The sequence below is a fragment of the Homo sapiens genome, chromosome 18 (assembly GCF_000001405.40).
Source record: "Homo sapiens chromosome 18, GRCh38.p14 Primary Assembly".
NCBI lineage: Eukaryota > Metazoa > Chordata > Mammalia > Primates > Hominidae > Homo > Homo sapiens.
The window spans coordinates 73,152,685-73,166,935 of NC_000018.10; the positions used below are offsets into that span (position 1 = coordinate 73,152,685).

The window sequence follows — 14,251 nt, forward strand, 5'->3', positions numbered from 1 at the left end:
AAAAAAAAAATTAGCCAGGCGTGGTGGCGGGTGCCTGTAGTCCCAGCTACTCGGGAGGCTGAGGCAGGAGAATGGCGTGAACCCGGGAGGCGGAGCTTGCAGTGAGCCGAGATGGCGCCACTGCACTCGAGCCTTGGGTGACAGAGCGAGACTCCGTCTCAAAAACAAAACAAAACAAAAAAAACCACAGTGAGATAAATCATCTTCAATATGTTTTGAATAATTGGTTAAACTATTCAAAATATTCAGATAGCAAATGAATATTTAATATTTCATGAGTTAGGCATAATTTGAGGAATCACTGATGTTTGATAAAGTATAATTGGTATATATTATGTGTATATCATCTGTAATTATTCCTAAAATCATTAGCATATAATCTAAGTAAACCTGGTCTTTTATTTGTTTCACAGACTAACTGATGATGAGACAAATATTTCATTTTATTTTTGTTACAAGGTCTTGCTCTGTCACTCAAGCTGGAGTGCAATGGCATGATCATAGCTCACTGCAGCCCTGAACTCCTGGGTTCAAGAACATTTTAATTTTTAAAAATAACATGAGAGCAAAAATGTTTGAACTTAATATAAGGCTATTTTTAGGGTGAATGAGACATGTTATAAAAAATGTTCTAAAACAACAGTGAGAAAAACTACATAAAGTTGTCACGATTATTCCATATCAAGATATTTAAAACTATCTGGAAAGGATTTAATTATACAGTTTGGCTCTTACTTAGACAGGGAAATACCTCATTACTCAGCACTGCATCAAAAGGATGAGATTGACTCCAAGTGTTTTCCTCAAGGGCTTGGAGAGCAGCCAAAAATACACAGTCCTAAATGTAAAGCAGAGTTTATCACATAAAGAAATTTTCAAGAAAAGTAATATTGAAAAAGAAAGAATGTTAAGATGAAAATAGAGCATTAGGGAAATTTTTAATAGATCGTTCTATGGATTTTCCTGTGGTCTTTGCCCTGGTCCCTTTAGTTGGCAACATATGGGTAGCCTCAGAGAAGATTGCTATGACAATACAGAGAGAAACAAGATGCTCATTTTTAGTTATTTTATTTCATTTTTAATTTTTTTGTGAGACGGGATCTCACCCTGTCCCCGTCTGGAGTACACTGGTGTAACAATGACTCACTGCAGCCTCGACTTCCTGGGCTTCAGCAATCCTCCCACCTCAGCCTCCCTAGTAGTTGGGACTACAGGGAAGCACCACCATGCTCTGCTAAATTTTCATTTTTTTTTCTTTTGTAGAGACTAGGTCTTGCTATGTTGTCCAGTCTGGTTGTGAACTCCTGGAACCAAGTGGTCCTCCCTCCTCAGCCTCCCAAAATGTTGGGATTACAGGTGTGAGTCATGGCATCTGGCCTAAATTTTACTTTTAATTTAAAAAGAGACACAGACATAAGGTATAAAGATTTGGGAGAATACCCCAAAACCTGCTTTCCCTCATAGAGGGATAAAGTCAGAGCCTTCTAGGAGCCCGCAGGCCAGCAAACCAAAGCCCACGGGCCAGACACAGCCTGCAGACTGTTTTTGTGACTAAAGTTTCACTGGAAAACTTTCATTCTTTTATTCATGACTGCATTCACACTCCAGTGGCAGAGTCGAGTAGAGTAGCTGCGACGAGACTACAAAGTTGAAACTATCTCCCAGCTGATCCTTTGCAGAAAAAGTTTGCCACCCACTGGCCTAGACTGTGGTGGATCCCTGAGGAAAAGCCCCAGGCCCTTCTCTGCCCTTCCTGTCCCATGCCAGATCCCAAAGGGAAGGCTGTGGGTGAAACATTCAAGAGGCTTGGAGATTTAAGACTCAAGGAGTCAGAACAGGTCTGGAAGATCAAGCTGTTTTGGTTTCACATATTTGGGCTGTCTAGGCTGCTGGTTGCGAGACTGTCTTACTATTTGTGCATTATCCAAGAAGTACAGGGAGCAGTGGTACATTTACCTATTCATGTACTATCATAATGGGCATAAAGGACCTTAAAGGATCTCCCTGAGCTTCTCTTGGGTATGAAGTGGCATAGGAAAGCAGTCAGATGTTTCCTGGAAATCCAAGAAAGATTCAAATATAGTCAGGAATGGAAAACAAAGGAACAACAAGTTGTATGAGGGGAAGCCAATATCCATAGGATACAGGTACACATGTGATTGGATGTTTACTCCAGCAGCTGACACTCAGTGGCAGCTTGCCCTCCTCCAATGGGAACGGTGGCTCTCATCAGTCCCCATCGCCACTGTAGGGACATCATGTACAAACCCAGAGGCCTGTGAGACCCTGAACAGGCTGATAGGATCTTCAGTTTGCAGAGATAACTGAGAAACGTGTCTATCATTTAGGAGCCATTTTAGCTTTAAACAAGGTTCAGTGGTACTTTTAGGGTTTGAGGAACCTCTAGTCATCTTAAAATTACCCTGTGTCCATTCCCATGGCCAGGCCTGTGCTCTTTCCAAACCCAAGATCTGTGTTCCCATGAGACCAGTCAAAGTTGTGATTTGGCCTTAGTGATGATACAGCCACCCCTGGGATCAACATTTGAGTTTGACTATTTGCCATCTGACCTGTGTCCTAGAATCAATAACATTTGTTTAACACAAACATCACCATATTGTTGTTTTCTGTCTGTGCTTTTAGCAAAGGCTTCAGCAATTTGGGATAGCCATTGCCTTTCTGTTTTATTTATTTTTTATTTTTTTTGAGATGGAGTCTCGCTCCGTCACCCAGGCTGGAGTGCAGTGGCGTAATCTTGGCTCACTGCAAGCTCCGCCTCTCGGGTTCACGCCATTCTCCTGCCTCAGCCTCCCTAGTAGCTGGGACTACAGGTACCCACGACCACACCTGGCTAATTTTTTGTATTTTTAGTAGAGTCGGGGTTTCACTGTGTTAGTCAGGCTGGTCTCAAACTCCCGACCTTGTGATCCACTCGCCTCAGCCTCCCAAAGTGCTGGGATTACAGCCGTGAGCCACCATGCCTGGCCCTATTGCCTTCCTTTAAAGTGTTGATCACAGTAGGAATTAACCTGTTAAGGGACTTTGAATAATCCAGTGATTAGGGCTTGAACTAAGTCATATTATAAAGCTGGGAAAGAGGATAGAGAAAAGAAATGATGTGGGGGCAGAACCTACTGAGTGTGGGGAGTGATTGCAAATGTGATTGGACACCATAGAAATTGTTCAGGGAGATTCCAAGGTTGCTGGCTTGAATCGCAGGTAGTATGGGCTCCACAGAACTCACTCAGGCTCTGAAAGAGAAAGTACAAACATGATCTAAGGTATGGAAATGTTGAGACTGGGTTCCTGTGACATACACAGAAAGAAATTTGATTTGAACCTGTATATATAGATATGGACTTAAGAGGAATTATTAGGACTGAGACAGAGGCTTGACACTTAGTATAAAGTTGGAAATTAGGCCACTGTAATGAAAAGATGGGTGAGTCTATAAAGTTTTGATGTTATCAGTTGAGCAGTGATTCTCATTCCTTTTGTTCTCAGCAGGTAAGCATCACAGAGTTCCTTTTCAGTCTTACTGTTGTTCCCATGTTCTAATCACATGATATATACATTAAACACAGGCTAAATATGCTGTTGTACCTGGCAATAATGAGTAATATTCCTGGTATGTTCTTCAATAAAAATTGTTTTCAACAAATATATTTAGTTGTGCATTCTTTTTAATCAAAGAGTGAGTATGATCTAATGAAAAGAGTCATGCAGGTGGGTTCTAGTCACATTCCTTTCATTGTAGCTTGTGATTTCTATTAGTTCAGGGCCTAAGGAGCTTGTTTCACTCCTCAGAAAAAGATGATAGGATGAGCATTCCTGCACACCTAGAAACTTGTAAAGAAGAAATGAGGTAATTGATAAGATACTTTGCAAGATATAAATCCTTATAATAGTGAACAGCAACATGATTATTCATAGCATATCAAATCTCTAGCCTTTGGGTAACCAGAATTTAGTTCTGTATCTTATAATTTTATACTTTGGCAAAATGCATCATTTTTCAAATACGTGGGGAAAAACCAGATCAATGGGTCTTTGCACATAGGCCAACATGCTCAAGAATTTGTTACTCTATCAGACATAAAGAGTTAAAATACACAGCATTAATTATAGTTTGTATTATTAAAATATTTACATTTGTTTTTCTTTGTGTTGTTGTAATGGCCATTAAAACATTTGTACTTATTAATTCAATTCTCATATAATATTGCTCTTGTTTCTAGCAAAACAGCTTTCCTAATGTAATAATGTCAGAGTTTTTGTTTAGTTTATAATCAAAGCAATATGGAATTAGAATCATTAGTTTTACTAATGCAAGTCAGACATTCACATGTGTAATCCTGAGAGCATAGCTTAATATGACCATTCATTTCAACACAGTGAGAATGAGTGAAATAAGATGCCAGATGGATAAATAGGCAGTAGTAACAAATTAAATTTGCAATAATTTGAAAATAGCCTGAAGCAAGAGGAAAGAAAAATACATTTTCTTTTTTATGTTTTTGAGATGGAGTCTCCACTCTGTTGTCCAGGCTGGAGTACAGAGCTGCGATTTCGGCTCACTGCAACCTCTGCCTCCCAGGTTGAAGTGATCTCCGTGCCTGAAGCCTCCCAAGCAGCTGGGATTACAGGCATGCGCCACCACGCCGGCTAATTTTTGTATGTTTAGTAGAGATGGGGTTTCACCATATTGGCCAGGCTGGTCTCGAACTCCTGACCTCAAGTAATCCGCCTGCCTCGGCCTCCCAAAGTGCTGGGATTACAGGCATGAGCCACCACGCCTGGCTGAAAAATGTATTTTCAATATATGATAATGATAGCCTAAAAAGTTATTTTGTTTCTATGGTACGTTAAACCAGGGATCACAATCAGTAAAATTTAAATTTTTCCTATGTGACGAAATCCATTTGTCATGAAGTGAAAACTTTTACCAAGGTAAAGCACTGCAAGAAAAATGAAGAATAATGCTAAAATTAATATCTAAATTTGACTGATTATTTAATTTGTGCCAGCCACAATGCTAAATGATTTACCTGCATTATCTCATTTAATTTTAGGAACAACTTTGAGTAGTAATGCAATTTTCATTTTAAAGATGAGAACCCTAAGGCCTGGTGAAGTTGATTAACTTGCCCAAAGACCGACAGCTGTTACGTGGTTATGATCAGGGTTCAAAGCCCATCTGCGTAACTCCCAAGCCCCAGCCCCCTAATCTCTATTTGCAAAAATCTATGGAAAATTATTCTTTCTTTCTTTTTAAGATTATTTCTTAAATGCAAAACAGACGGAAGCTTTAAAAGAGAAGAACATTATAGTTTATATAAACTAGGACTAGACTGAAAAAATATTGAAGACCACAAATCTTTCGTTGATTGACACCTGACTCTGTGGGTGGGAGAGGTGATATGTGAACCTCAATAAATATTTCACTCTATTGATGTGCATTTATTTGTTTGCTCATAAGTCATTCACCATATATTTATTCAGGGTTTGCTATGAAGCAACTATTTGTCCTTAAGGAACTCATTAAAATTGCCTTTGAATAACACTAGAAAATTCAGAAGAATCCCTTGATAGATCTAAACGCTGATAATTTGCTTTTATTATCACAAGAAAAATATGGCCTTAATAGACAATTAGGCTTGGTATTTAATTATTGTCTCAAAATGGCTTCATATGAACTATTCTAAAACTAAAACTATTATATTTGGCAGAAAATTAATAGAATTTAATTGGGTTCTATCAAATAATTCCATACAGCATGATAATTTGTTTAGGATCTATAGGATTCTCTTTGTTCCTGATGCACCCTGGCAGGTTCACCGGAAAAACCATGTGGATCTACATTCGATGCTTCATGAGAACATCGCTGAAGAATTTTACATCGGCTGTGATAATTCCCCAGGCTCAAGGCTATTCGGCATTCCTCTATGGTAGAAAGTTTAGGCATTCAAGAAGCAGCTGTTGTCATATTGGAAGACACTCAGATTTATTTCCCAGCAAAATTCCCGTTTTGTCCTCAAGCAAAATGTATGCTATTTGTTGTGAGTTTTTCTGCCTTGTGTCATCCACGAGGAAAAAAATCTAAAACCAAATAAAACTGACGCATCACCATTATCTACTTTTGGTTTCAATTTCCTTTATGGTTTACTTTACATAAAAGTATCAAGCTAGTTGAAAGAAATGTACTTCTACCTATGGTGGTACATAGAGGAAAGGAGTGTGGAATGATTATATCATGAATTTTCTCATGTGTATTTAATGGTTGTGGTACTATATTGGCATGTAGTAATTATTGGTCCTTACATAGCAAAAATATTTTCTATATTTTAAAAGCATTTACGGTTTTTGTATATGTTAAAATAAAACCAAACTTTTGCATCTTGAAAGTGTAGAAATTGGAAAAATTGTCAGGCATGGTGTCTTACTAGAAGTAGATGATTCCATATTATTTTGGGGAAAAAACCTTTTTTTGGTGCTTTTTTTTTTTTTTCTGAGAAAACGAGTTGAATGCACTCTTGTACTAAATTAATGGAAGTCACATACACAACCATTTTGCTTGTGAAATCAGGAAAACTGTGAAGTCACTGTTGACCTCATTGGGGATGGTCTGACCTGAGCAGCTGAGTATTTTATTCAGGCCTACATTGCATATCACAGTTTGATTCAGAGCTGGGTCCGGTTCTTAGCATGATGCAAAATAATTTCTTTTCTTTTGTATAAATGAAGATGCTGGACTGTATTTGACAATTTTGGGGGCATGGATTGGGGGCCGTTTGTTTTAAGAGATATTAGAGACTACAAAATATGGTGTTCATGGGGTAAAGATGACAATGCTTACCAAATTGTTCTACATATTTAATGAAACTGGTACCAAAATTTCAGCTGGCACTTGTTGCAGAAATTGAGAAACAGCTCTTTGCAATCATCTGGAAATGCAAGAAACCCACAACAGCCAAAACAACCTGGCAAGAAAGAACAAAGGTGAAGGACATATACTACCCTGTTTCAAAACTTAATACAAAGCTATAGCAATTAAGACATTATGGTACTAACACAAGGAGAGATATATCAACTAATGGAATAGAAATAAGGTTCCAGAAATAAATTCTTACATTTATGATCAACTGACTTTTGATACAGGTGCCAAGATAATTCAATGCAATATTTTCTATGCTACAATTCACTTTATTGACTTGTCAATAAATAGTTCTGGGAAAACTGAATTGTCGCACAAAAAAGAATGAAATTGTCCTCCTACCTCACACCATGCACAAGAATTAACTGAAAAATGAATCACAGAGACAAATGTAAGAGGTAAAATTGTAAATTCTTAGAAGAAAATATAACAGTAAATCTTCATAACCTTTGATAGATATTACACCAAAAGCATACTCAATGTAAATACATACATATATGCATAATAGATTTGTGTCACAATACCATCAAGAAGTGTTCCTCAAATATTTAAACACAGATCTATTATATGAACCAATATTTCAACATCTAAGTATCTATCCTCCAAAATAAAATCATGTCCCCAAAAGACTTATACATGCATATTTACGGTGGCCAAACAGTGAATTATTCATAACAGCAAAAAATACCACAAAATATCATTCAGGCATAAAAAAGGAATGAAGTATGTGTACCTGCTAAAATCTGGATGAACCTTGAAAGCATTATGCAAAGTGAAAGAAGCCAGTCAAAAAGCCCATATTTTAAAAAGAAACAAACTAACAAATGACCACATATTAAATGATCGTATTTGTATTAAATGTTCGGAATGCCAAATGGCTAAAGACAGAAAATAGATTAATAGTTGCTAGTGGTTTGGCAGAGAAAAGAAACGGGGAGCTACTGCTAATTGTTATTTAGTTTTTTTCAGAGGGCGGTGAAAATATTCTAAAATTCGATGTGATAGTTGCATAAGTCTGTGACTACAATAAAAAACACTGGATGCCACATTTCAAATGTGAATGTTATGGGATATAAATTATATCTCAATGAAGCTCCTAAGAAAAATGTATTAGAGGAGTCGTAGAACAGAAGCTACAATAAAGGAAAGCATGAGTTCTGAGGATGGACATGGCCTGTAAGATGAGTAGGACAGAAGGTTTAGAAATCACAGAAATCACTCTACCCCAGGTGACTGAAGTATACCAAAGGCTAATGGGAGAATGGTCTGTTTCTCTGTACCAAGTCTGAGTGTGTGCTGATCTGCAGCTTCACCAGCCTCAGAGGAAGACTAGTTTCTCATGTCAATTGTTCTACTGCGTCTGAAACTTTATAAATCAGACACAGCTCCATCCTTGGCCTCAGAATGTTAAAGCCTATGTTTTACCTTCGAGGACCTATTCATAAACAAACATAAACGCCTCTTCGACCCTAAGAAACATTGAGGAGGAAAATTCTTTAAACATTTTTCCTTAATTTAAACCTGATGTACCTCAAACTTGTAATAATTTGTTCATGTAATTGTTACATGTATTATTCAGTTATCACGCTACTGTGAAGAAATACTTCATAGTGGGTAACTTATAAAGAAAAGAGGTTTAATTGACTCACAGTTTCACATGGTTGGGGAGGCCTCAGGAAACTTACAATCATGTCAGAAGGCACCTTTTCTCAGGGTGGCAGGCAAGAGATTGAGTACAAGCAGGGAAATGCCAGACACTTATAAAACCATCAGATCTCATGAGAACTCTCTATCATGAGAACAGCGTGGGAGACACTGCCCCTGTGATTCAATTACCTCCCACTGGGTCCAGCAGCAGGACACATGGGGATTATGGGTTCAAGATGAGATTTGGGTGGGGACACAGCCAAACCATTTCATTATGGTAATTAACTTTTAGCATAGGTCAACAATATAACATGTATAAATTGCAGTTTATTTACTCTTTGTTGCTATATAAATATTAAGCATAGAACAACCACTAACATATAATACCTTCATGGGATATACAAAAAAAATGATTATAATCAAAGTAGTGTCTAAATCTGATTTTCAGCAGCCACCTTATCTTATTGTCTCCATAGTATCAGCATTCCCAAGATAAGCAGTGGTATGGTTAAACAATTATTGAATATTAAGTACGATTTGAACAAAACTTTCAATTACCAGCCTGAGAGCATGACTAACTATTATTTTTTGGCAGTTTGCTTTCCAAATGGTTCACTGTGATTTTCATGGTGACTTCTTCGTCAATCAAATTCAGCAAACACAATCTGCCATTTTCTCCTCAGTATTTCCTCTCTTCTTGTGAATTTTCTAATAAAAAAGAAAAACAGATCATTCAAACAATGCAAGTGAATCAGCAGAATGACAAATGTTTAAAGTATGAATGTAATTTTCAGTAATTTATTCTTCCATTTTAAATAATGATGATCAAAAGCTGTTACTTGGTCAATTGAACTTATTAAAGAGACTTTATAATTAGAAAATACTCTTTTGAAAGTGCCACAGAAAGCTTAAGACAATATTTATATTAAATATTTATATCACTCTTTGACATTCCTGGAAGTTTGACCAGTTTAATTGTTCTGCATTAATCCATTATGTTTTTCATGATTCTCTATGTTTTTCATGATTCTCTATTAGCATCTCTATTGTATTATAACATTTTAAATTGTTCCTTGACTAATTAGAAGATGCTATTACAGAAAAGGAGAATGTTTATCTGTGTGGACCTAGCAGAAAAAAAAAAAATATATTGGGCAGCCAACAATATATAAATGAAATATACTGAAGCAAAAATAAAGAACATGAAAAAGATATTAATCTATGTTAAGTTTGTGAAGAGGTTGAACATAAGTGAGAATTTTGATACAAAAGGAGATAATTTATTTCTCTCTTTTCTGAAAATAACTGACTATAATTTTAGATAGTAATTGTACTTTGCCTCTTAACCATGGACCTGGCTCAATGCTTTTATAGAAATAATGTGAGAACCAAATTGCTAACATTTATTATGTATTATCACAATTGGCACTATCAACCTTTCTCTCCTGTTCCTCTATTTGCATTTTAATATTATATGTGCTTATTCTCCTAAAAGTGATCACATTATCACTATCCAGGTATTTCCATACTAACCATTCTCATACTGGCATCCCTAAGTTGCAAATCAAAGCTTCCTTGCCTATAAAAGCATTTCCTCAGCTTAGTCTCTGGGAGTAAACATGTTAATCAGCAAATATCCTCCTTCATCAATTTTGTGCAAAGCCTTTCAGGAAAGAAGCGATTCCAAGGGCTCACTGTGCTGTATTGATTAGAGAAAATTACAGACTCATCAACGACACCGTATTTCCCACCTAGAGTTTACCCCAAGCCTAAATCAGCTGTTTACCTAATGCACTCCTAATTTACAACTCCATGTAGATTTATAAATATCAAGTCACTGATTCAAAGAAAAAGGAACGTTTAGAAACTGTTGCTGGAACTATTGCCTCATGGTTGATATAAGCATCCTCCAAGACTGACCATGGTATGTGGAGACAATGGTGGCAGTGTAATGAACAACAATGCCCTGACGAAACACTTCCTATCTTGTGAAGGTCTGGTATCCATAAGCACTTTGAATTTTTACTGAATATTAGCTATTGAACTTGTTTCTTATTGATCATGTGAACTTTTAAACCCTCCTCCATTTAATCAGAGTATTCCTGTTGCTTAAAATAAAAAAGTCTAAAAGTAATATTATATTGGTAATAAATTAACAATAAAATATTAATTTATTATTATTATAAATTAGTATTTATTATTATAAATCACACTTTATACATTTAGAAAGGAGACTTTTTTAATTTATAATTTTTGTGTATGCATGGTATATATATATTTATGGGTTACATGAGATATTTTGATACAGGCATGCAATGCATAAAAATCACATCAGGGTAAATGGAGTATCCATCACTTCAAGCAATTATCCTTTGTTTTACAAACAATTCAATTATCCCCTTTTAGCCATTTTATTTATTTATTTATTTATTTAATTGGAGATGCAGTCTTGCTCTGTCACCCAGGCTGGAGTGCAGTGGCACGTTCTCAGCTCACTGCAACCTCTGCCTCTATGGTTCAAGCCATTCTCCTGCCTCTGCCTCCTGAGTAGCTGGGATTACAGGTGTGTGCCACTACGCCTAGATAAATTTTATATTTTTAGTGGAGACGGGGTTTCACCATGTTGACCAGTCTGGTCTTGAACTCCTGACCTCAAGTGATCCGCCTGCATTGGCCTTTCAAATGCTAGGGTTACAGGCATGAGCCACTGTGCCCAGCCTTCTTTTAGTCATTTTAAAATGTACAATTACATTAATTTTTACTATAGTCACCCTACTGTGCTAGAAAAGGAGACTTTATTTCTTATCTAGGGTTATAGCCTGCAAGGCAGCCATTCTGACAGTCTGGGAAGCGAAGACTTTCACGGAAGCTGGAAACAGGCATTTGGAGGGAGGGAGGGTAAAGCAGGAATTTATGCTGAACAGGTTGGCGAGATATACATATTCAACAGGTTATAGAAGGATCTTATGAATATGTATGAGGGAGTACTAACACATGTGTACTTAATAAACATGCATGTTACATGTGTTTCATGTTCACTTTGGGGTGCAGAGTTAACATTTACGTGCATTACAATTAGGCCGTGTACATCAAAGGGTGAAGCAGGGACACAAAGGCACTCAGTGTGCAACCTCTGTAAGCCCGCCAGGACCAGGCCGGTAGTTTCTTATCAGGAGAAAGTTACTGAAATCAGTTACTTAGTTCAATCAAAGCTGTATTTATGGCTTGTGGAACTGGGGTGGGGGCCAGTATCTGGTAGTGGATGAGCCATAATTGTTTTAATCTTGCTTATCTCGAGGCCAGTGGTTGTTTAGCTGCTGAAGCAAAACCTAAGCATTGTACAGACACAGCGAAGCACATGCTTAGGACAAACCTTGTGGCCAGTCACAGAACTGGTAAGTTGTTCAATAACTTGTCTCTCTCACTCTGGGCTTACCGGTCACTCTGGGCTTTCCCAAGGCCACAAGGAGGAAGGTTTAGTTCACCTAACAAGAACAACTGTTGCATAAATCATCTTTATCTAGATAATCATTTTAAAAAATTAAGATAGATCTTATAAAGCCTCAGGCAACAAAACAATTTAAAAAGGATAAGTGTAAAATGTTAAGGAGGAGTATGTTCCTGATTAGACATTTTCCCCTTCCTAAGGCAATGATCCAAAATATTTGAGAATCAGTGGATGAAAACCTCTAAGAAACATGTTATTGAATAGAATTGTTAGCAGGGAGTAATTTCACAAATTTTAGAACTGTGGCTACTTCTCACTCTTTTTGTGACTACAGCCTCTTCTCGACTATCCCTAATCATCTATCAGTATCAAAAATGACTTATATTTATTTATGGATAAAATGAATTTTTAAAATAATGTAAAATTCCAAGAAGGCAAGTAGGTAAACCAACTTGGAAAACTCCAATAATAAAGACAGCTGGCTATGCTTTATTATTTTCAGGAGCAGAGTCTCTTTCTTTCTAATGGCCTGTTTAATCAAGGGATTCTCATTCAACTTTGATTCTGTGCCATAGGCTGATTTCCCTGTAAGGATGCTTAAATAATGAAGACTCGCCACACAGAAGAAAAGTGGTGGTGGAGCGGTTCCAAGGTCAGCAACTCAGCTGTTTAATGACATTGTCAAGAAAGTGATCTTTTCCTCCTTCTACTCCATCCTTCTCAGTATGCTGCCCATGGATAGGATACTAGCCTTCTTAGTCACAAAATGGCTGCAACAGCTCCAAACACTATACTCTCATACAACTTCCCAAAGTCAGAAAAGAAAATAATGACACTTTGTATTCATTATATTAAAATGAGGAAAATGCTCCAGAGTAAACCCCCAAACTGCCAGGGTCACAAGTATTTTCCTTGGTGGATCGTTGGTCAAGAATCTGTCACAAGGCTGTTTTGAACACTATTACTGGCAAGGTGAATTCAGTTGCCATGGTTAGCTTAATCGAGATTTACTCCATTCTGCTAAAGGCAGGTCCTAGCTTCCTTGAGATGGGGGAGGCTGATGATTGATTAAGAGGTGCAAGTGCCACAAGCGCCTACTCTCATAGGCAAAACTGCACCCATCCCTCGTCAATGCAAAAGACCATGGACTCATATGTTTCTGTCTTTGCATCAGAATAATTTTATGGCTCAGTTATCTTCCAAAAGTAACCCAATTTGTTCGTGCTTCTAATAATCTATTTTATGTATTTTCTTTTTTTATTTTTATTTTTATTTATTTATTTATTATTATTATTATACTTTAAGTTTTAGGGTACATGTGCACAATGTGCAGGTTAGTTACATATGTATACGTGTGCCATGCTGGTGCGCTGCACCCACCAACTCGTCATCTAGCATTAGGTATATCTCCCAATGCCATCCCTCCCCCCTCCCCCATCCCACAACAGGCCCCGGTGTGTGATGTTCCCCTTCCTGTGTCCATGTGTTCTCATTGTTCAATTCCCACCTATGAGTGAGAATATGCGGTGTTTGGTTTTTTGTTCTTGTGATAGTTTACTGAGAATGATGATTTCCAATTTCATCCATGTCCCTACAAAGGACATGAACTCATTTTTTATGGCTGCATAGTATTCCATGGTGTATATGTGCCACATTTTTTTAATCCAGTCTATCATTGTTGGACATTTGGGTTGGTTCCAAGTCTTTGCTATTGTGAATAATGCCGTAATAAACACGCGTGTGCATGTGTCTTTATGGTGCTGGGAAAACTGGCTAGCCATATGTAGAAAGCTGAAACTGGATCCCTTCCTTACACCTTATACAAAAATCAATTCAAGATGGATTAAAGACTTAAACGTTAGATCTAAAACCATAAAAACCCTAGAAGAAAACCTAGGCATTACCATTCAGGACATAGGCATGGGCAAGGACTTCATGTCTAAAACACCAAAAGCAATGGCAATAAAAGCCAAAATTGACAAATGGGATCTAATTAAACTAAAGAGCTTCTGCACAGCAAAAGAAACTACCATCAGAGTGAACAGGCAACCTACAAAATGGGAGAAAATTTTCGCAACCTACTCATCTGACAAAGGGCTAATATCCAGAATCTACAATGAACTCAAACAAATTTACAAGAAAAAAAGAAACAACCCCATCAAAAAGTGGGCGAAGGACATGAACAGACACTTCTCAAAAGAAGACATTTATGCAGCCAAAAA

General features: G+C 37.3%; 1 long non-coding RNA gene across 1 annotated transcript in view; it reads right to left on the reverse strand.

Moving 5' to 3' along the window:
• Positions 1-1,373: 1,373 nt before the first annotated feature.
• Positions 1,374-14,251, reverse strand: part of LINC02864 (long intergenic non-protein coding RNA 2864) — a 110,441-nt gene continuing 97,563 nt past the window's right edge. The window contains exons 4-6 of the long non-coding RNA NR_034133.1: positions 9,140-9,289; positions 6,857-6,980; positions 1,374-3,251 (exon numbers count right to left, since the gene is read on the reverse strand). This is a non-coding gene — a long non-coding RNA (long intergenic non-protein coding RNA 2864). The remainder of the gene's footprint in view (positions 3,252-6,856; positions 6,981-9,139; positions 9,290-14,251) is intronic.